The sequence below is a fragment of the Homo sapiens genome, chromosome 11 (assembly GCF_000001405.40).
Source record: "Homo sapiens chromosome 11, GRCh38.p14 Primary Assembly".
Taxonomy (NCBI): domain Eukaryota; kingdom Metazoa; phylum Chordata; class Mammalia; order Primates; family Hominidae; genus Homo; species Homo sapiens.
In genome coordinates, this window is record NC_000011.10 from 70,907,181 (window position 1) to 70,931,313 (window position 24,133).

The following is a 24,133-nucleotide window of genomic DNA, read 5'->3' on the forward strand; positions in this document are numbered from 1 at the left end:
GTGAGCCTCCCAGGTTAGAGGAAGACCCTGAGCATTTGAGTAAGACTTGCCTGGGTCTCGTCTGCCAGTATCCCCAGAGGCTGGGGATGAAACAGCCCCTCAGTCCCACAGAAGGTGGAGCAGGTCCAGCCCTCAGCACCCCTCCCATGGCTGAGTGAAGGGGACCCCCTGGGTTGTGGCCAGATTTCACTCAGGTAGCACTGTGCGGTGGTCAGGACCACAGGCTTGGACGTTGGACAGCCCCAGAGGGAGCCTTCTAGCACCGATACCAAAGACAACCTCCCCCCTTCTCAGGCTCCTGAAACTGAGAATAAGAATAAAAGTATGATTCTTCTATGACTATCATGAGAATTAAAATAGTTAATTAGCAAATAATAATTGGCAAATGACTTAAAATAGCGCCATTCAGTATCACCAAATTGAATGCAGAGATCCATATATTAAGGAGATGATATCATGGCTAGGTGAGTTTATTTTAGAAATAAGAAAATTGACAAATATAATTCATCGCATTAGCAGATAAGCAGGGGAAATCTACATAATCATCTTTGACAGTTGCAGGATCGGATTTTGGATAAATATTTTATCAAGACACATCGGATATGACAACATAGATTCATGATAAAACTTAATAGACTGGGTCAGACATGAAGGCTCATGCCTGTAATCCCAACAATTTCGGAGGTAGAGGCAGGCAGATCACTTAAGGTCAAGAGTTCGAGACCAGTCTGGCCAACATAGCAAAACCCATCTCCACCAAAAATACAAAAACTAGCCAGGCATGGTGGCACGAACCTGTAATCCCAGCTACTTGGGAGGCTGAGGCAGGAGAATCGCTTGAACCCGGGAAGTGGAGGTTGCAGTGAGCCGGGATCGTGCCATTGCACTCTGCGCAACAGAGTGAGAGTCCATCTCAAAAAAAAAGAAAAAAAAAATCTTAATAAACTGGGAAGAAAAGTGAACTTTGCCTGCTAGTGCAGCAGTGAAACAGATTGTTGCTTAAGAGACCACCCTAAAACTAAGGGCTGCATGGGTCTGAGGACTGCCACTCTGGACTCCCTCACGTGACTGCGTTTAAGTGGAGGGTCAGCCTGGCTGGCACACGCAGGATGGCCTCACATGGGCCTCGCTGTTGGCTGGAACACATCTGTTTTCTTCCATGCATCCTCCCATCCCCCAGCAGACCAGGCTGGCTTCCTTACACGGTGTCCTCAGGACAGTGCTCCACATAGACAGCATGTCAAGCTGCCAAGGAGGGAAACAGACTCCGCCTGTGCATGGGAGTGGCTGCACTTTTCTTCCTGCCACAGTTTCATTCTGCGATTTTGCCATGACTGCAGCTCAGACATGGTCATGGGGATCTGCAGGTGTTCTGGGTGACCTTCTGGTTGACCTTGTCCTTTTGGTCCTGGGATCGAGCAGAAGCTCCGAAGGCTGCACAGCAACCTGGGATTCGGACCAGGCCTCCAGAGCTGCACCGACATTGGCAAGTTACCTCCCAGGGATGCTGGGGTTCAGCACCAAGGTGACTGTAATTACAAGGGAAATGCTGAACCAGGGGTTGGCGGTGGGGGATCATATATGAGGAGGAAAACCACTTTCAGCGTTTGAAAGTTTCTGACCTAATCAACATCAACGTCAAACCGCGACCCAACTGATCTACCTCCATTTAGTCGTTCAGTTTCCAGCCAAGATGTTGAAACGTCAGCCAGGGGAAAAACTGGCCACCTCCTTGGAGGAGGCCACATCCCCTTACCCCTCTTAGGGTAGAAGAGACCTTCTGGGCAGTATTATCCTCTGTCCTGTGAAATACGTATGGCAGTCAAGGGAATAAAAACCTCGAAAAACATCAGCGTGTAAGTTTAACAAACACACAAAAGAATGGGAAATAATTCTTTCATGTGGACCAAATGCAACCTCCCTCTCCCAGAAGGATTTGCCAATAAAATGTAAATTTTTCCTTTGAAATAGCAATGGCATTGAAGGACATCATTTGCTCCCAGAAATCTTGATAGAAAAGCAACAGTTCTTTGATGTTTGCAGAGGAATGATTTTCAAGAGTGACTCTGGTGGGACCCTGGGGCTAGAAAGGCGTGAGCCCACAGGGCAGTTAGACTTTTCTACTTGGCCTCCAGGAACCCTAGACTCACGGCACAGAATGAGGGAGGCTGAGTCTAGTGAGAAGAGGAGATTTCTGGGGATTACAGATGTTGCTAGGCTGGCTTTCCTGTGCTGTAATGATGAGGAGAGTGATCAAGCTGATCATAATGATAACTACCCATGTTTACCCAACACGACACGCAGCCCAGCATCTAAATACAGTCTCTAAATTCCACCCTCACGGCATGCCTTGAGGAAGTAGAGCTGTCGTGATCCTTGTTCTGCACATCAGACAACAGGTTTCGAGAGCTCAAATGAGTGAGATTTCTTCATTGCATAAAGGAAGGCCCTGTCCATTCGATTCCAAAGCCTAGGAGAAGGCAGGCATTACACACATGGCTTTGTGTGGCTCTAACTACAGAAAGTTCTCTTGCACAGCAGCCCAGGCACAGCCTCCCTGCTTAAAAAAGGCAAGAGGGAGATTAGCAACGAGATTTGGTTCCAAAGCAAGAATTGAACACCATTTTCTGCAGGACAGTAACCAAAGAAAGAAATCATGGCTGACAACGGGGTACGCTTGCGTATGAGTTTGATCAGGCTGCCATCACTAAGCACCACAGACCGGGCTGCTTAAGCCACAGACACTTATCATTTCACTGTCCTGGAGGCTGGAGTCTGAGATCAAGGCATCGCAGGGCTAGGTCCTCCTGAGGCCTGTCTCCTTGGCTTGCACTGGGCCGCCTTCTCTCTGTGTCCTCACACCGTGGTCCCTCTCTGTGTGTCTGTGTCCTCATCTCCTCTTCCTATAGGGACACTGGTCATATCAGATTAGGGCCCAGCCTAGTGACCTCAATTTAACTTAATTACCTCTTCAAAGGTCCCATCTCCAACTACAGTCACATTCAGAGGTACTGAGGATTAGGGCTTCAATGCAGGAATTTAGGGGGACACCACTCAACCCAGAACAACTTGCTTAGCACAAGAGTACGCAGAATCTCTTTGCCTTCCTCAGGGACACCTAGGGTCCCCCGCAAACACCCAGGTCAGAGGTGTCTGAGGCCTGCACAAGGCTTGAGAATCTCTCCCCTCACGTGGTCTGTTTTCAGGGAGCAGAGGGTGGGAAGAGGCTACCGCACACTCGATTGTCACAGATGGACACACAGGAGCAGAAGCAATCACTGCCTCTCCCATCCCCATGATTCGGTTATGAAAAGTGTCACACCCACCGAAAAAGTTGAAAGAATAGGCTGGGTGTGGTGGCTCACACCTGTAATCCCAGCACACTGAGAGGCTGAGGTGGACAGATGACTTGAGGTCAGGAGTTCGAGACCAGCCTGGCCAAAGTGGCAAAATCCTATCTCTACTAAAAATACAAAATTAGCCGGGCATGGTGGTGGACACCTGTAATCCCAGCCTCTTGGGAGGCTGAGGAAGCAAAATCACTTGAACCCGGGAGGCAGAGGTTGCAGTGAGCTGAGATCGCACAACTGCACTCCAGCCTGGGCAATAGAGTGAGACTCCATCTCAAAAAAAAAAAAAAAGTTGAAAGAATAGAGTGATGAAAATCAATACACTGCCAAACTGGATAACACAATTGTTTACATGTTGCTTGGTGGTGCGTGTGTGTGTGTGTGCGCGTGCATGTGCACATGCTGGGGGCACATGTGCACATAATTCGATTTTTGCTAAGCCATGATGATGCATCCCTCTCTAAACACCTCAGCATTTGCAGAAACGAAGGGGGTGCTCCTGTAAGTAATGTCACACTCAGAAGATCGGCATTCACCCCCAGACTTCCTCCAAAATCACTCCACAGGCACAGGTCTCCACATGCCTCTTTCCCCTAATTTTTTGTACTGTTTTAATTCAGCTAAAAGTACATGCCACGAAACACACAGGCCTTAAGCACAGAGTTGGATGAGTTTTTTTGTTGTTGTTGTTCTTTTTGTTTTGTTTTGTTTTTGAGATGGAGTCTTGCTCTGTTGCCCTGGCTTGAACCCAGAAGGTGGAGGTTGCAGTGAGCCAAGATCACGCCACTGCACTCCAGCCTGGGCAACATAGTGAGACTCCATCTCAAAAAAAACAAAAAAACAAAAAAACAAAAAAACAAAAAACAAAACCTGCCTTCTCAGAGCAGGGGGTTAGCATTCCATGCCCTAGTTACTCCACATTCTCACAGACAACACTTGGCACTGTCCATCTTCTTAATTTTGGCTATTTGTGTGTGTGTGAAGTAGGTGGTTTTAAACTTTATTTGCCCCCCAACTTCTCCTTTTTTGCAACCTCACCATTGCTATCATTAGAATAAAATTAATTATCCGTTTTCCCAGAGGGTGGAAAAAGGCAGTGATTCCAGGACTCAGGCCAAGAACTGGAGACATCAGCCTCACAGAAGCTGTGAGTGCACCTGCAGCTTCTATGGGCCAGGGAGTACAACTCATGGCTATTGTTGTTTGCTCAGGAACATCATCTCCTACCCCAAAATGACAAGAGTGAGAATGGTGGTAGAACTGGTCAGTGGCCAGGCGTGGTGGCTCACACCTGTAATCCCTGCACTTTGGGAGGCAGAGGTGGGAGGATCACCTGAGGTCAGGAGTTTGAGACCAGCCTGGCCAACATGGTAAAATCCCGTCTCTACTAAAAATACAAAAATCAGCTGGGCATGGTGGCAGGCACCTGTAATCCCAGCTACTTGGGAGGCTGAGGCAGGAGAATTGCTTGAACCTGGGAGGCAGAGGTTGCAGAGAGCTGAGATTGGACCACTGCACTCCAGCCTGGGCAACAGAGTGAGACTCTGTCAAAAAAAAAAAAAAAAAAAAAAAAAAAAAAAAAAAAGAAAGAAAGAAAGAAAGAAAAGAGAAGAGAAGAGAAGTCAGCTTATGAAGGTGGTGGTGGTGACACTTACCACGTGACCTTATGCAAGCAGAAAATATTTTACTTCATTCAATGATGTGAAGGAAGTTTAACAAATTATATAAGCTAAAATCATGCTTATGGGGTATCAACTACATTTTTTAAAATTGGACTAGTTGGGTGTTGATATGGTTTGGCTGTGTTCCCATCCAAATCTCAACTTGAATTGTATCTCCCAGAATTCCTACATGTTGTGGGAGGGACCCGGGGAGAGGTAATTGAATCACGGGGGCCGGTCTTTCCCATGCTATTCTTGTGATAGTGAATAAGTCTCAGGAGATCTCATAGGTTTACCAGGGGTTTCTGCTTTTGCTTCTTCCTCATTTTTTCTCTTACTGTCACCATGTAAGAAGTGCCGTTTGCCTCCTGCCATGATTCTGAGGCCTCCCCAGCCGTGTGGAACTGTAAGTCCACATGCTAAACCATGATGATGCATCGTGCACCACGATGATACATCTCTAAACACCTCAGCATTTGCAGAAATGAAGGGGGCGCTCCTGCAAGAAACGTCACACTCAGAAGATCGGCACTCACCCCCAGACTTCCTTCAAAACCACTTAAACCTCTTTTTGTTTCCAGTTTTGGGTATGTCTATCAGCAGTGTGAAAATGAACTAATACAGGTGTTTACACGGGGTTTTATTTGGTCAGCTTCTACAGAAATCCAAATTAACAATTTCATTAAAGTCACTATCATGTGTCACATCGGGGAACAATTTCTGAGACAGGAACAAAAATTGACCACAAAAAGATCTCCCGGGAAAACTGTCTTATTTCCTTCAGTTCTCTGGACTTATCAATTTACAGTCTCAGGGAACTGAACTACAGATTCTAAGCCAGTTCCTCATTCATTTCCTTTCCCCTCCACTTCTCCAGCAAAGAAAAGGAAATTAAAAAAAAAAAAAAAACCTACCCTCCCATCCTCTCACAGCCTCCTGGTATGTTTATAAATAAATTCAGGTTAGGTCATGTCGTTTAGAAAAAAAGGCATTCAATTTATAATTAATCCCAGTGAGAAAGAAGAAACTTATTATATAAAGAGATTTGTTTTCCTTCTTTTCCTTCATTTGTCCTAAATGATAGACCCTATTATGACAACTTGGACCCTTCAGGGACCATATGGAATACCCAGGGGGCTCTATGTGCTAAAATGGATGGGAGGTATGAGAATTAAATTCAACACAATTAAATAACATAAAATTGCATTTCAATTCCTCCGGGAACAAAAAAAAATCAAAAGGCATTTACTGTATTAGGAAAATTCTAAAGATCATTATTAAGTTCCTTGTAACTGGCAGGTAAAAGTTCAGGAGAAAGAAGCAAACAGAGAAAGGAGAAGGGAGGGAGACCAAGAGGGAAAGAAACAGCAAAGAACCAGGGATGGTTTTCCTCAATGTTGTTTTTAAGATCCTTGCAAATAATTTAAAAACCACTAAAAATATAAGCTAAGGCCTCAGAGTTCCCACTTTGGGATCTGGGGGCTAAAAGAGAAGATTCTGAGTTTAGACGTTGGCTCTAAACCCTGCCCCAGACTTCATGCGGAAACATACCCTAAAAAGGCATCCTCTCCAGAGACGAGGAGCAGCAGGCATTAGGACCCTACATGGTGTCATTGCCGGATGGCCAGGCTCTCTGTGCTTCTGGTTCAATCAGAGCCGGTCTTTTCATTTCCATTTGGAAAACAACACTCACGTTTAACCACACAATCATCTCATTGTTCAGGTAATGCTGCCACACTTCATTAGGGAAAGCAGCTGGCATCAGGGTGTTCTCGTTAGAGCAGTGCTGTGAGTGTTTATTGCTTTTCAATTAATCCACTTTTGGATTTAGCATATTTACACTGGGGCGGCAAGCAGAGAACAGGGCGGCGGTGGGGGATTTCTGTAAGGAGTTGTCGGGCCCTCAAAGCAGGTGCAGGGCCCCGCCCAGCCACACTGCCACTGCAGCATCTTGTTACAGGGCCCTGAGAAGGCACACCCTGCTCAGCTGCATTGGACAGCCTGTTTCCGGAAATCGGGCTCTGGGGCTCATACAGAGCCACAGGAACAAGTGTGCAATGGGGTTCCGCTGAGACACAGAGTCCCTCCCCCGACCCTCTCGGTCTTCCTCTCAGGTAGAATCCACCTGGCACCAGGAGAGCATGAGCAATACCCAGGCTTTTCTGGCATCCCCTCAAACCAGGGGCTAGAAAAAGGTCATCACACCACACCTCCCACCTGTCCATGCTGGGGCCTTCCCGGGAATACAGAGAGAAGCTTAAAAACCCAGCCTCGCACAGAAAGGCCTTTCAAAAACACAACGCCCTTGCAAACACACACAAGAGGCTGAGTATATGAAGAGGAGGGTTGGGCACGGTAGCTCACACCTGCAATCCCAGTGCTTTGGGAGGCCAAGATGGGAGGATCACTTGAAGCCAGGAGTGTAAGACCGGCCTGGGCAAGGTCTTAAGCAAGAACCCTACCTCTACAAAAAAAATAAATAAAATAAAATAAAATAAAATAAAATAAAATAAAATAAAATAAAATAAAACAAAACAAAACAAAGTAAAATTAGCCCAGCGTGGTAGCGCACACCTGTAACCCCAGCTATTCAGGAGACTGCGAAGGGAGGATCCCTTGAGCCTAGGAATTTGAGAATTTGAGGCTGCAGTGAGCTATAATCGCACCACTGCACTCCAGTCTGTTGACAAAGCGAGACTCTGTCTTAAAAAAAAAAAAAAGAAAGAAAGAAAAAAAAAAGGAAGAAAATTCAGTTGTTAAAGTATTTAACTGGAAACAGCAGGAATCTTGTAGGCTACAACACCATTCACTTTGGAAATGCACTTTCCTCTCCACAAGCTGCATCTCAGCTTCCTTTCCCTAATCTTAGTAATGTGATCTGTGGGTGAAGCCGACAGCTATTGGCTGGCAATGACTTTCCAGATGATTTCTGGGTACTGCTGGCTTGCGGGACACGTTCATCCTCAGCTCCCAATATGATCCCTCAAAAATACGGATGCCTTCTTTAAACACAGACGTTGGGCCCTCGGAGACACTTTGCTGCCACTGGGAATCTCATCTCAAATGTGCAGGGCTGCTGTTCCCAAATCCGCCAGCACATGTTAGCAGACTGTACACACACCCCCAAAAAAATCCCCTAGCAACTACACGCTGGCGCCTAACATTTTAATTCTTTCAGTTATGATTCATGGTGCCATCTGTGGACAGATAATGAGAGACAATAATCCAAGAATAGCTATCAGGCATTTGTTCAGCAGAGTTTCAGCATCAGTTGCATCCAAGTATGGGAAGGGACGGTGCCATCCCAGGAGTGCCTAACCACTCCCATGGCTAACATGGGACTCAGTGAATCAGATCAGCAGGTCTGGCCGCCGAGCCCACCCGAGTGACATCATGCCCTCAACTGTGCTCAAACTCCTGAGAATACCGAGAGCATGGCTGCAAGGTCCAGGAGGGAGTTAAAGGCAACAGGCATAAGAGAATTCACAGGAGCCCACCCCACAAAAGGGCTGCCTGCCTCGCGGGACGGACGGGATGATGGAGGGGCTGTGGCTATGAGAAAGGGGACTCCCTTGAGGCTTGCTTAAGCTTGCCAAGGAGAAAGATGCGTTGCTCAGTCATAAAATCAAGGCCATGCTTTAAAGACTTCTGGATGACTTGACTTATGACACTCAGGCACAACATCATTTTTTTCTCATTCTAAACACTGTGTGTGTTCCCTGACCTCCATTTATTTCAGAGCGCAGGCCTGGCTGTCAGCAGACACAGACATGGGTTTCTGGACACTACACCCTCCACCTTGTTGTGCTCTTCCCCGATTCACATCACCTTGCTCTTGTTTTTGGGAGCCAGACATGTCTAGGGAGGCCTACATATTTTCTGCAGAAAAGAATTAGAGAAGAATGAAGGGCAATTACCACCTTCTTTCAGTGGTTTGCCCAAAGCCATTCTAAACCGGGCAATGTGTCTACCTGTGAATCCTGAGGGATAAAGGACATTCTTGGCCGTCCCTTGCCTCTTGGGAGAGGGTAGAGTTCAGATAAGTCGAGCCCCATGCCCCGTGTAACAGTTCATGCTGAGTTTAATACTCACGGGCACTGTCTGGGGGAAAGGTTGGGGGACATGGAAATGGCCTAGTTGCAGCAGAGTGGGAGGCAGCATAGAACAGTACCCCTCGCCAACCCGGCTGGCCATCACATGGCCACACAGTGGACAGAGGTACAGAAAGCTCTTGGCACTTCTGAAATGCGAGGCTGGCAGACAGCAGAAAAGCTAAATCCTAGCATCAGTCACTCATGTGTATGTGTGTGCGTGTACACACACACACAGCTGCCCCGCCACCCTTTCACACAGTAGCACAGCAAGCTTCAGGAATTATTTCCAGAATTCTAATGGAGCATGATTCACCGGCAAGAGGATGATGACCTAATTATCCACCTGTGTCAGTTAAATGGCAAGAAGCCCCCTCGCCCTCCCTTCGCCTGGCACAGCATTCAGCATCTTCCTGCTGTCTGAAGAGAGGCTTGCAAAATGCTAATGTGACTCCAGGGTCTCTATCCTGAAAGCTTGCAGGTATCCAAGCAGCCTGGGGAAAGGGAAGCCAGGAGCACATGGAGTCCAAGAAGAAACTGAACCCCAGCAGGCTCTGGTGTCTTAATGTACAAATGTCCTCCTATGATAAGCAAATGTATCATTTCTCAATCTCCACGGTACCTGCGACCTTAAGCACCAGGTGCATGTGGGGAGGGTATGGAGGGAGGTTAGGAAACCATTGCTTTTGGATGCTTTGCTTAATTTTTATTAGGACACAGAAAATGAAAAGTCAGCATGAGGAGAGGGAAAGCGACCAAGAGAAGCCACTACGCAGCAGGGCAGTGAGCTGCTTCGAAGGAAGACAGCAAGTCAGGTCTTGGCCCCGATGTCAGCTGAACATCCCAGCCTACTCCAAACATCACAGGAAGTTAAGGATGCAAGAAAAAAACAAACAACTCCCTTGAAAAGTGGGCAAAGGACATCAGCAGACACTTTTCAAAAGAAGACATACATGCAGCTAATAATCATATGAAAAAAAGCTCAACATCACTGATCATTAGAGAAATGAAAATCAAAACCAGAATAAGATACCATCTCATGCCAGTCAGAATGGCTATTATTAAAAAGTCAAAAGACAACAGATGCTGGTGAGGAGAAAAAGGAACTCTTTTACACCGTTGGTGGGAGTGTAAATTAGTTCAGCCATTGTGAAAGACAGTGTGGAGATTCTTCAAAGACCTAAAGACAGAAATGCCATTCGACTCAGCAATCCCATTACGGGGTATATACACAAAGGAATATAAATCGTTCTATTATAAAGATACATGCACACGTGTTCACTGCAGTACTATTCACAATAGCAATGACATGGAGTCATCCTAAATGCCCATCAGTGACAGACTGGATCAAGAAAATGTGGTACATATACACCATGGAATACTACGCAGCCATAAAAAAGAACAAGATCATGTCCTTTGCAGGGGCATGGATGAAGCTCGAGGCCATTATCCTTAGCAAACTAATGCAGAAACAGGAAACCAAATACAGCATGTTCTCATTTATCAGTGGGAACTAAATGTTAAGAACACATGGACACATAGAGAAAAACAACAGACACAGGAGCCTTTCAGGGGGGTGGAGGGTGAGAGGAGGGAGAGGATCGAGAAGAACAACTAATGGGCACTAGGTTTAATACCTGGTTGATGAAATAATGTGTACAATAAACCCCCAAGACATGTGTTTACCTAGGTAACAAACCTGCCCGTTCTGCACATATACCCCTGAACTTAAAAGTTTTTTTTTTTTTTTTTTTTTTTTTTTAAATAAGGCCAACAGATGAACATCTCAAGGCAACCCATATTTTAAGTCATTTTACTGTGAGGACCCTGACCCAGGAAAGAAAAGCAATTGCTATAAAACAGGTGGCCCACTGATCTGCCATGAGAGCCAACTCAACAAGAGATTCATCTCCCAAAGGCAGAACGCTTGCAGCCGCTCCATGCGGGGCGGGGGCCTAGGGAAGAAAGGTCACTAGACTCTCCTAACAGGGCTCCTGCATCAGCTACAAGGTCAGGTCAAGTCAGACGTGTACCCTCTCCACGGAGAGAGGCCGATTGGTATCAATTTTATTGATACAATTTATGTCCTAGAATCACAAGGTCACCCAGCACCCACTTGTAGTTTCATCATCCATGCCAGGTATAGCCCAGGTGGCTCTGCCAGTCGAAGTGGAATTGGGGAAGAATGTGCCAAAGTCTACATGGATATCCTTATTTTAATTGATTTTTTATTTTTTTGAGACAGAGTGTTGTTCTGTCTTCCAGACTGATGGAATGCAGCGGAGCAATCTCGGCTCACTGCAACCTCCACCTCCTGGGTTCAAGTGATTCTCCGGCCTCAGCCTCCTGAGTAGCTGGGACTACAGGCGCCCACAACTACACCTGGCTAATTTTCATATTTTTAGTACAGATGGGATTTCACAATGTTGGCCAGACTGGTCTTGAACTCCTGACCTCAAGTGATCTGCCTGCCTCAGCCTCCCAAAATGCTGGGATTACAGGGCATGACCCACCATGCCCAGCCTTAATTGACTTTTTAAGTTGACAAATAAAAATAGTATACACTGATGGTGTACAACATGTTTTGAAAAACGCATACAGGCCAGGCACAGTGGCTCAGCCTGTAATCCCAGCACTTTGAGAGGCCAAGGCGGATGGATCACTTGAGCCCAGGAGTTTGAGACCAGGCTGGACAGCATAATAAGACCCCATTTCTACAAAAAAATTAAAAATGTACCGGGTGTGGTGGTACGCACCTGTGGTCCAAGCCACTCAGGAGGCTGAGGTGAGAGGATTACTGGATCCCAGGAGATCGAGGCTGCAGTGAGCCGTGATCACCCCACTATACTCCAGCCCAGGCAACAACAGAGCAAGACCCTGTCTCAAAAAAATAAAAACAAACAGAAAGAGAAACATGCATACAATGTGCAATGGCTAAATCGAGCTGATGAACACGCACACCGCCTCACATGCTGACCATCTTTTTGTGGTGAGAACACTCAAATTTGACTCTCTCAGCTATTCAAGTATACAATGCATTGTTAACTGTGGCCACAATGTTGTACCACAGATCTCAGAACTTACTACTTCTTTTTTTTTTTTTAACTCTTTTTTTTTGAGACCGAGTCTCACTCTGTTGCCCAGGCTGGGATGCAGTGGCACGATCTCGGCTCACTGCAACCTCCGCCTCCCAGGTTCTAAGCAATTCTCCTGCCTCAGCCTCCCGAATAGCTGGGACTAAAGGCGTGTACCACTACACCTGGCTAATTTTGTATTTTTAGTAGAGTCAGAGTTTCACCATGTTGGCCAGGCTGGTCTCGAACTCCTGACCTCAGGTGATCCACCCGCCTTGACCTCCCAAGGTGCTGGGATCACAGGCATGAGCCACAGTGCCCAGCTGATCTCAAACTTACTTCTCCTATCTCAGCGAAATTGTGTATCCTTTGACCAACACCACCCCAGCCCTCTCCCCAACCTCCCAGCTTCTGGTAGCCACTATCCTACTCTCTGCTTCTATGAGTTCAACTTGTTAAGATTCTGCACATAAGTGAGATTGCATCATGCTTGTGCCTGGCTTGTGGTGCTTAACATTATGTCCTCCGGGCTCATTCCATGGATGTCTTTTAAATAATCAATCAAGAGCAACCAACCCAAGCTTGGTAACTGGCAGCTTCCAAAGCTGCAGAGACATAGCCATGTTGGGATAAGACCTGGCTTCTAGTCTCAAGTTCAAGTTTACCAGCTGTAGCACTCTGGCCAAGTTACTTAACATCTCTGAGCCTCAGTGTTTTCATGTGTAAACAGAGGTAATAACAGACCCTACCTCATAGGGCATTTTGTCAATTAAAGTGAGATAGTGCATACAGCATAATTATCAGTACTACCCAATACACAAGCACTTAATAAATAGTAGCTACTAGTATAATCATAATTATTTTAAAAGCACTCTCTATAAATAGAAATATTATGTATGTATGCATGTATGCATGTATGTAGAGATGGGATCTTGCTATGTTGCCCAGGCTGGTCTCAAACTCTAAGCTCAAGCCAGCCTCCCGCCTTGGCCTCCCAAAGGGCTGGGTTTACAAGTGTGAACTGCCACACCCAGTCTATTTTAAAAAATGATTACCTATGATGAAGGAAGAGACAAGAGTGGAAAGGAGAGGCGGAGGGTGGAACTTCTTTGTGTATAACTTGGTTTATAGATTTGACTTTAAAATGCAAATATTCTATAGAATTACAAACCAAAATTAAAATTTAAAAAGCAAGTCATTAAAAATCAAAAATAAAATTAAACATAGCTGCTGGCAAAAACAAATAGAGAGAAATTATTCCAAATGTCTCTCAAGCACAATAGTTTAATTGCATGTCCCTAACGGGGTCTACTCCAGTGACAGCACGCCACTGCAGGGGAGAATCTGAAACCACTACAGCAGAGTATTGCTGGTAAGTGCTGGCAGCATTATGTGAAGAATTTTTTGTGCATGGTAGAATAAACCAAAAGAAGAGTGATGTTGCTCATTAAAAGTTAAAGTTTTTAGCATAGCTGAAGGCGATACAGATGTTAAGATCAAGGAGGTTAAGTCAAAACCTTGTCCTGAATCACAACAGGCAATATCAATATAACTCATGATGCATATTACCTAAAAAGTAAGCCCCCTTAAACTTAGACGTGGCCCTTAAACACCAGTTTCGACTAAAAGAAACAAGCTTCCCTGAAAAATGGCTGATTCCATGTCTGAGACAAGAAATCTGAAATGTCTCGCCATACCAGAAAATCAGGAAGCTATCAATGACTATGAGGTCATGTCCAAAAGACTCAGGAAATGGTCGGAATCAGCCTCCACTGGGCACAGACAGATATGATGAAGTAGCTAGAGGCAGATGAATGCTCCCACCAAAAAGAGAATAAACAACAAAAGACAACAGTAAACATATCTTTCAAAGCATCAGGGATCTACTGAAGCTACAAAGACCACAGGTGCCAAGGTTTGGAAAGAGGACAGCTGTTGAGAGGTGAGCAGATGTGCTAAAGCTGCTTCTCCCCTAGGATCATTTGTACATCCCAGACTCAGGAAAAGGACTGAGAATTGGTCCTTGGGCCAAGAGCCGATTCCTGCTAGCTGTAGAGAAATCCCTGGAGTTTTTAGCAGTGAAGTAGGGCTCCTAAGGCAAAAACTGCAGACCCGAAGGGGAGTTGTCTGGGCTAGAGGAAGGAGTAGAAAAATGAATGAGGCATTCGGCTGCTTTTCCTTTCAATATTTGCCGAATTCTGAAATTGGGAGGAGCAGAAGGTGAAAAAGCGAAGCATAAGAAATGGAGGGCAGGGCCCACCCAGGAGAGAAATGCTGGTAAGCACACGAGGCTCTCACTTGAAAGTGCTGAGGGCTACAATCTAGAAGGAAAGGAGAACTGGAGTTAGAATGAATCCTCTCAAAACTACAACCCAGCCTTGACTCAGCTCAGTCTCTGACTGCATCAAGGTGACAAGGCTTCTCTCTATCTGCCTGACAGAAGAAATGATAATCCTCTCTGAAAGAAAATAACATTACCTAGAGTCTCCATAATTTTTAAATATATATGCAATGCCTGACATTCTATAAACAATTACTAGTCATTCCCACAGACAGTACCATGTGTTGGAAAACAAAGAGAAAAAACAGTCAATAGAAACAGACCCATGGATGATCCAGATATTGGAGTGAGCAGCGAAGAACTTAAAAATGATTAGTATGATCAAGAAGGTAAAAGTAAAACTGAAGAAAGGAGCTGAAAAGATGGAGAATTTCAAGAAACAATTGAATGCAGAAGGGAATCAATCGTAAACTCTAGACCTTAAAATCCAACGTCTACAATTAAGGACCTCAAAGGTAGGCTTAAGATCGGATTACATGTAGGAGATGGATAAGGAAATTGGAAAATTGGTCAATAAAAAATGCACAAACTGAAGCACAGAGAGAAGGACAAATGGAAAACAGAACGGACACATATAAGACACACTGAAAGGCTCTGACATATATGTGAATCAAATCCTAGAAGGAGAGATGAAAAATAGAGCAGAAGTACTACATACATTAAGCCTAAACTGACAAAACATGTAAAACCACAGACTCAAAAAGCTCTATAAATCTCAAATGAGATAAACACAGGAAAAAAACATAGCTAGGCACACAAATACTGAAAACCAAGGACAAAGAAAATTTCTAAAGCAACCATAGCAAATGGCCATTATCTACAATCACACCGACAGCAGTCTTTCAAAAGAAACTAGATAAGGGATGTGACAAAGAAAAAAGAAAATAACTACTGATCTAGAACCTGTACCTCACAAAAATATCCTATTAATAAGGCTAAATAATGACATTTTTGGAAAAATCAAAGCAGGCATTCTATCACCAGCATGAATTCTAAAAAGGACTTCTTTTAGCAAAAGAAAGATGATCCCATAAAAAAAATTCAGAAAGGAATAAAAAGCAAATGGAAAATAAGTGAGCAAGTAATAAAGAACAGGAAGATGTAGGAGTGGTGAGTTTCTAAACGTGTTACCACAGCTAGGAGATGCAGGGGAGGAAGCTGACCTGGTGACATAAACAAAATACAACATCCCCTATACTTTAAACAAACAAACAAACAAACAAACAAAAAACCCATAAGCAAAGTTGAAAGGAGATAAATTTGAAAAAAAAATCCACACATTTGTAACTTACGATTAATGAGTTAAAGTACCTATTATATTACTATAAATCTACAACACAGAAATCCAAACCCAAAACCCAAACAGGCACAATCCAACTGACACTTTTTATGACAGGGAGTCATTGATGGTAAAAACCCATCAACTGTAAGGAAGAAGAAAGAAATTTGCAGTTGCATGGTCAGGAGGGGGTGATAATAGATGATGGGTCCCCACTGTTTCCCTCCAATATGACTGCCCTGATCCTCAGCTTTCCTCTTTTTGTTTTGTTTTGCTTTGTTTTTGAGATGGAGTCTTTCTCTGTTACCCAGGCTGGAATGTAGTGGTGTGATCTTGGCTCACCGCAACCTCCGCCTCCTGGGTTCCAGAGATTCTCCTGCCTCAGCCTCCCAGGTAGCTGGGATTACAGGCATGAGCTACTATGGCCAGATAATTTTTGTATCTTTAGTAGAGATGGAGTTTCACCATGTTGCCAGGCTGGTCTCAAACTCCTGACCTCAAGTGATCCGCCCGTCTCCACCTCCCAAAGCACTGGGATCACAGGCATGAGCCACTGCGCCCAGCTGCTTGCAACATTTTTTGAGAGAGACAGGATCCCACTCTATCGCCCAGGCTGGAGTGCAGTGGCGTGACGTAACCTCAGTTCACTGATAACTCCACCTCCCAGGCTCAAGCAATCCTCCCATCTCAGCCTCTCAAGTAGCTGGGACTACAAGTATGCACCACCATGCCCAGTTTGTTTTTATATACTTTTTTTGTAGAGTCAAGGTCTCACTATGTTGCCCTGGCTGCTCTTGAACTCCTGGGCTCAAGTGATGATCCCGCCTTGGCCTCCCAAGGCGCTGGGATGACAGGCATGAGCCGCCACACCTGGCCAAGCATCAATGTCTTAACCCTGATTAGCCTAATTGGGCAGCTCCTCTTCTCTTCCAGCCAGTGACATCCAGCCTATAAGAATGCAGACCGGTGAACCACTGCCCAGTGATGGCTCCCCCAGTGCCCTTGTGAGACACTGCAGTGAGCCCCGTGTCTGCTCAGGGGGAGGCACGAGGGAGCAGACAGGGGCAGGAGGCTGGCCAACTACACAGAAACCAATACCATCACAGGGAAAGCCTTGCCGGGCCCTAGGTGCCATCATAAAACCTTTGCTTTCAAATGCACAAGACTCAGCATCCCTCCTGCCACACTCCCCACCACCCTGCACCGTTACCAGAGTCCCCAGGAGTCCCTCCTGACGGTACAGATACTGACCGGCCTGACCTGCCATATTGAGGACATGCCCCAGAGCAGGTCTCTCCATGGACAGGAGCTCAGTCCGTGCCTCCTGGGTAAGATGCTGCATCCCAGTCTCACCTGGGACACGCTGCTCCTAGGATCTCGGGGCCGGGCTCAGGTGTGAGAGTCAAACACCAGGGGCTCTGTCCAACAGCCAGCGAAATGGTGGGGCTGAAGGAAAGCCATGCCCTTGCCTGATACTTTTTTAAAAATTTTTATTTTTAAGACAAAGTCTTGCTCTGTCACCCTGGTTGGAGTGCAGTGGCACGATCCTGGCTCACCACAACCTCTGCCTCCTGGGTTCAAGTGGTTCTCCTGCCTCAGCCTCCCGAGTAGCTGGGATTACAGGCACCCGTGACCATGCCCGGCTAATTTTTGTATTTTTAGTAGAGACAGCGTTTCGCCATGTTGGCCAGGCTGGTCTCAAACTCCTGACCTCAAGTGATCTGCCCGCCTTGACCCCCCAAAGTGCAGGGATTACAGGCTTGAGCCACCGTACCCAGCCCCTTGCCTGATACTTGATAAGGGTTTTACACTTTTATTATCTCATTAGGCACCACAAAACCTTATAAGAGAAATGGGGCTTATTTCAGAGAACAGATAAAGGAAAAGCTACGCAGACAGCACAGGGTCTGCCACTCCCGGAACAAGGCAAGGCTGGAGCTGCTAACTTTGTATTGGAAGCGTTCACCAGGACCCTCCCTTCCCATCACCATCCGGGCTCACAGGGGGGCAGATTGAGCACCCACTTGCCCAGCAGAGATGCGCACTCTAAGCTTCCCTCCACCAAGCGGTCAGGAAATAGACAAAGCCAGATACAACTCTCCATGGCGGTCGACACTGCAGAGGGGAGTATGTGTGGGGGTTTCACAGTGGGCCACTATTTATATCTGCATGAATCAGCAGCCTTAAGCTGTTTCTGAAAGCTTAAGCAGTTCCTGTATGTTTAAGAAAGCAATGGTTAAATATATGCCCTATTTCATCAGCAACGTTATGGAATAAATATTTCAACGATACCCTGCTATGTTGACTCTGTGCTAAGAAAAAAACAAGCATTTTTATTAAAGATGACCCGCCAAAGTGAAGAAAGCCCTGTTAATTCTTGCAGATTAGGTGCCCAATAGGAGTAGGTATCACCTGGAAACCAAGCTGTGTAATAAGGAAACAGCATGTTCACAGAACATGTCTCTTCCAGTGCCTGGTGCCCCACCCCATGTGTCCATAATCAACACCAAGCAGACATGCACCTGTGCAAAAGTCAGATACTTAAAAACTGGTAGAAAAAACATATGAATCAAATCATTCCTATGGTAGAGCTTCATGCTTGTGTTAGGTTAAAATATAAAAGCAAATCCACTACAAATGACTGGTAGGAGCACCCTAGTGGGAAGAAAAGCCGGATTTGCACAGCGTGCCTACTGGATGTTACATGAACATGAACTTGAGAGGTGCTTGACCTCCCCTGCTTGCCTTGCCGTGTGCAGACAGCACTAACTTCTTATTGTCCAGGATGTGTAAAGAGATTATTCTCATGGTCTGCGGTGCTAACATCCTATAAACCTGCCACAAATACAAAATTAGCAATACTGAGCTGTTGCTCCTAGGAGAAACACAGTGTTAGGTTCCTGAGAGCCTCTGGTCACACCTTCATCAACCCATCAATACATAACCTAGTTTTATGTGTACTCTTGATTAAGGACACCTTATTTATACATATTGTTGACTCATTAACATTGTATCGGCTGGGTGTGGTGGCTCCCATCTGTAATCCACCAATTTGAAAGGTTGAGGCAGGTGGATTGCTTGAACCCAGGAGTTTGAGACCAGCCTGGGCAACATGGTGAAGCCCCCTCTCTACCAAAAGCACAAAAATTAGCTGGGTGTGGTGGTATGTGTCTGTAGTAACAGCACTTTGGGAGGCCAAGGCTGGCAGATCCCTTGAGCTCAGGAGTTCGAGACCAGCCTGGGCAACAGAGTGAGACTCCATCTCTACAAAATACCAAACAAAAATTAGCTGAACATGGTGATACGTGCCTGTAGTCCCAGCTATTTGGGAGGCTGAGGCGGGAGGATCACTTGAGCTCAGGAGGCAGGGGTGGAAAGGACATGCTTGGCTCAGTAAGCCAAGATGGCGCCACCGCACTCTGGCCTGGGTGACAGAGCAAGACCCTGTTTCCAAAACAAAACAACCAAAACAAAAATGGTGCATTCACGGCCAATGGCACTATGACTCAGACATGAATGAAGTTTCTCTAAAGTGTGTTTTCTTCATGAGCACACCACAGCCTTCTCGCACTTGGGAACCCCAGACAGCACTGCAGCACTACGATAGGGGCCATTCCATACAGCAAAACCACCAACAAACGGCACACAATTTCAAAAACCATAGCACTAAAGAGATGGCAAAAAGGACACTTGTTTAGGGTACAAGAGCTGAGACCAGAAGGCAGAGCGTGGCCCCATTCAGCCTCAGCTGGGCACCTGCGGGCTGGATGACTCAGACTCTCCACTGCTCTGTGTGGCTGTGAATAACTCTGAAGGCGCATGAGCTTTTATATTTCAGTGTTACAAATAAATTTTAGTGAGTAGGCAAAATCACAAATATGGAATCTGTGGATAAGGAGGACGAACTGTGCAGAAGTGTGAGGCGTCCATGGTCTGACCCACTCGAGCTGGAGGAGGCATCTGATCCTTACTTACCAATAACCACTTGTCTCTCTTCTGCCTCCTGCTGGGTCCCTTTCCACCTGCTTAAAACAGGCAAAAGCCGGTGATCAGAATCTCTGCCGCACGACGTGGCAGGGAAAAAAAGAATACCAGGCAGGCACACATCATGTGCTTGCCAAGGCATCTCAATATGTTAATTTCTTTGTTTTAAAAAAATAAGGGCCTAGAGTAATAAGAAGTAGACTCCAATGCAACACACGGAGACAAAAGATTCTTTGTAGCTATTTTATAAACAATAATACTTCCCATAGTGTTAAAATAAATAAGAGTCCCTGAACGCTGACTCTGAATTCCATTTAAATATTCATGAAGATTCTGAACTCGATCTCCAGAAAAGATTTCACAATAAAATATTCCGTTTATCCCATCTCTCTTGCTATGCTCCCAGGGTCATTTCACTGCCTGGTGTGACGGACTTGAGAGCCGTTGGAAGCACAGGAGACTCAGCTTGTTCTATGTGACCAGCGAATCTAGGCCAGGTTGGGACTGATGGGGCCCGACATGGGGAGAGGGCAGGCGAGTCAACACAAGGAAAAGAACCCCAGAGAGCAGCCATCTCCACAAGCAGTGAGTTCCCCATCTCTGCAGGGGTTCAAGCAAAGGCAGGCAAGATCTTAAGGAGATGGAAATTCCCATTAAGACACAGGCAGGGTCCTGGTGACCTTCAAGGCCAGTGACAGTTCATTTTATGCATCACCTTGACTGAGTTCCAGGGTCCTCAGAGTAAACTGTTATTTCTGGGTCTATTTGGGAGGCTGTTCCTGGATATATCTGGGAGAATGTTCCTGGATCAGCATTTGAATCGGTAAACCCAGAAAAGCAGATGCCCTCCCCAAAGTGGGTGGGCCCCATCCAATCCGTTGAGGGTCTGAATAGAACAAAGGGAAGAGGAAGGGGGCATTAGCTCTCCCCAGCTGACTGCTGGAGCTGAACACAAATCGTTTTCTGCCCTTGTCCTGGCATTTACACCACCAGCTTTCCCAGGTCTTTGGTTTGCAGATGGCAGATTGTGGGACTTCTCAGCCTCCGTAATCACATGCGCCAATTCCTTATAATAAATCTCTCCTCATTCTCTTTCTATATATATGTATATATTTATATATGTACACATATATACATGTATCTTATTGGTTCCATTTTTCTAGAGAACCCTGGCTAATACAAGGCCTGTCGACACCACAAACTGCATGCCCTGAAACCCAGAGGGAAAAGGGCATTGTCGCCGATACCTGTTCCCGTCGATGGAGACCCCAGCCATGGAGCTGCCCCCTCCACCATGCATTCCAAAGGTGTCTAGAAGGGAAAGAAAGGCTTGTATGCTTGAAGGGGGAAAACTGGAAGGCAGAGATCTGAGACAGCTGGTCAACTTGCTACAAAGCCTTATTCAGGGCAGAACAGGCTCTTGTGGCGCACCTGGCATGGATCAAGGGCTGCCCAGGACAGTCCTAAGATGCATTTTTTGACATGAGAAACAGAGCATGGTTGCCAGAACAACCTCACCCCCAGAAGATGCAGCAAAGGGTTTACTGCTTGCTTTTATGTGGAACACGAGATGGGATCACAGGGCCTCAGAATGGAGGAAAAGCCTGTGGTAACAGAAAAAGGCATTTGTTTCAAAGCAGATCCCTGGGGGGGAAGAGGAAGACTGGGTGGGGGCATAGGAGGTGGTCCCCTGGAGGAAGAACCAGCCCCTCCAATGGGATCCATGGGGCAGAATTAGGACCAAGGGAGAAAAACTTGCAAGCCGGCCAAGATATGAGCACTGATAAAGGTGCCTAGGGCTGGAAGTTAGGAGCCCACCTACGACCGTGAACCCGGACAGGTGGTAGAGCTGCCTTCAAACCCCCACACCAAAAGCCTACACCAGAGGAGAGAGGCAGGAAGATGCACACACTGAAGAACGGTAGGGGGTGACCTGAAAGTGACTCCCCATCTCTCCTGGGAGGGTGGGGCTGGCAGAGTCAGGAAGCAGACAAATGGTAATGCAGACCCTGGGGGAGTGCAGACCTGTGGAGGTGCACACGTGTCTTGTGGAGAGAGAAGCTGGGAGGGCACTACTTTTTCAGCAAAAGAAGCAACACCACCCACAGGACAGGGAGAACAATGCGCCCAAGGGCTCGTCACTTCCTTACTCTCTAGTGTGACTTCCAGAACTTGTACCTGAGGTTGCCATCTGTTAGTGGTGTGTGTATCATAAGGAAGCCTCTGCTTTTGCAGAAATATCTGAGGGGTAGAATGGAGAGACAGGATGCCGAGGTTTAAATGTGGCTCTGCCCCGAGGCACTTACTACTCAACCTCGGTCTGGGCAATTTCCTCATCTGTAAAATGGGACGTGCCTCAAAGAGCTGCTGGGAAGATTCAGTGACTTGCACGTGAGTGTCAGTTCCCTGTTGCTGCTGTAACAAATGATGCAATGTGAATGTATGCTCTTACTGTTCTGGAGGTCAGAATCCTGAAATAAAGGTGTGCTGTCAGCAGGGCAGCATTCCTCCTGGAGGCAGTAAGGAAGAATCCATTTCCTCCCCTCTGCCAGGTTCTAGAGGCCATCTGCATTTTTGGGCTCATGGCTCCTCCTCCATCTTCAAGACCAGCATGGCAGCATCTTCAAATCTCTCTCCGACCTCCGTGCCTGTTGTCACATGACTGCTGACTCTGACCCTCTGCCTTCCTCTTATAAGGACCCTTGTGATAACATGGGCCTGACTCAGATAGTCCAAAACTATCTCCCCAACTCAAGATCTCAAACTTCATCACATCTGCAAAGTCCCTTTTGCCATGTAAAGTAACATGTGCACAGGTTTGGGGGATTAGGATGCAGACATGTTTGGGGGGACATTCTTTTAGCAACTGCAATATTGAAAGCTGTCAGATCCTGGGTGACTACAGAAACGTGAGCTTTAAGTGCCACAGACCGTCACTGAAATGACAGTGGTGAGTAGGATGCTGATGAGGATACACATCTGGTGTGAGCAAGCCCTGCAGAAAGCCAGAGAGTAAACACCTTCAGCTTTGAGGACCACACGGTCTCTGTCACAGCTCCTCAACTCTGCCCTCCTAGCACAGCAGCAAACACAGGTAACATTTCAATGAACAGACATGACTATGCTCCAGAAAATTTTTATTTACAAAGATAAGGCTACGGGCCAAGTGCAGGACCTACTGTGTAAACCTCAATGCAGAATATTTTCTTGGTTCCAATCATTCAATCTCTCCCTGGATGAGGATCAGAAAGTCCTGCCTTCTGCTTCCCTGTGGAAGGAAGCATGTCCTTCCCACACCACAGACGTCATGCTCTGCCGGTGCTCTGCTCCCTCTGCCCAGAGAACCACAATGTCTCCTTTTGTCTGGATCCTGGGACACAGAAGAAACTGGGGCAAATTGATAGTCAACCTTTAGACGCAGTTACCAGATGGCTTGAAGCCACTGGGAATGTGGGGATGTTTGTTATGAGGCATAACTGGGTCCAAGCTGACTGATGCAAATACAAAGTGTTAGTTATTAATATTGTATTTATTGTTTTAATGCTATTCCAGCACCTTCTCTGTTATCTCACCTGGCCAATGTGAGCTGCTGAACCTAAGCCACTCTCAAGTCACTGCCACATCTGGGTAGAGGTCATTGGTCTCAGAGGTTGATCTTGCAAACATAAATGCCTTTTCTCTTGTTTTTATTTCTTTGTCTTTTTTTTTTCTTTTTTTTTTTGAGACAATGTCTCACTCAGTTTCCCAGGCTGGAGGCTGGAGTGTAGTGGCACAATCATGGCTCACTGCTGCCTCAATCTCCCAGGCTCAAGCAATCCTCCTGCCTCACCCTCCCATGCAGCTGAGACTACAGACATGCCCCACCACACCCAGCGGTTTTTTTTTTTTTAGAGATGGGGTCTCACTATTTTGCCTGGGGTAGTCTGGGGCTCCTAGGCTCATGCAATCCTCCTGCCTCAGCCTCCAAAAGTGCTGGGACTACAGGCATGAGTTACCATGCCCACCCACAAATGCATTTTCTGGGTACGGCTACAGAAGCCATCAATGGATAAATGGATGCACAAAATTCAGCCATGAAAGGGAATGAAGCCCCAACACACGCTAACACATGGATGAGACTTGACCACACCATGCTCAGTGAAAGCAGCCAGACACACACAGCCACATGTTACATGATTCCATTCACATGACATGTCCAGAATAGGCAAATCCATAGTGACAGAAAGTAGACTCGTGGTGCCAGGGGCTGCAGGGAGGGAGGTTAAGGGGAGGCTAGTGATAGGGTTTCTTTTTGAGGTGATGAAAATGTTCTAAAATTGACTATGGTGATAGTTGCACAACTGTGAATATACC

General features: G+C 46.2%; 1 protein-coding gene across 20 annotated transcripts in view; it reads right to left on the bottom strand.

The window, feature by feature from the left end:
• Positions 1-24,133, bottom strand: part of SHANK2 (SH3 and multiple ankyrin repeat domains 2) — a 785,381-nt gene that overhangs the window by 439,327 nt on the left and 321,921 nt on the right. Inside the window, exon 1 of one of the 20 annotated variants that reach the window (XM_047426622.1) lies at positions 4,777-4,795. The exons of the other annotated variants lie outside the window; for them this stretch is intronic. The gene's annotated coding sequence lies outside the window, so the exon portion shown is untranslated. Of the gene's footprint in view, positions 1-4,776; positions 4,796-24,133 lie in introns of those variants that run through there. 20 annotated transcript variants of the gene reach the window in all.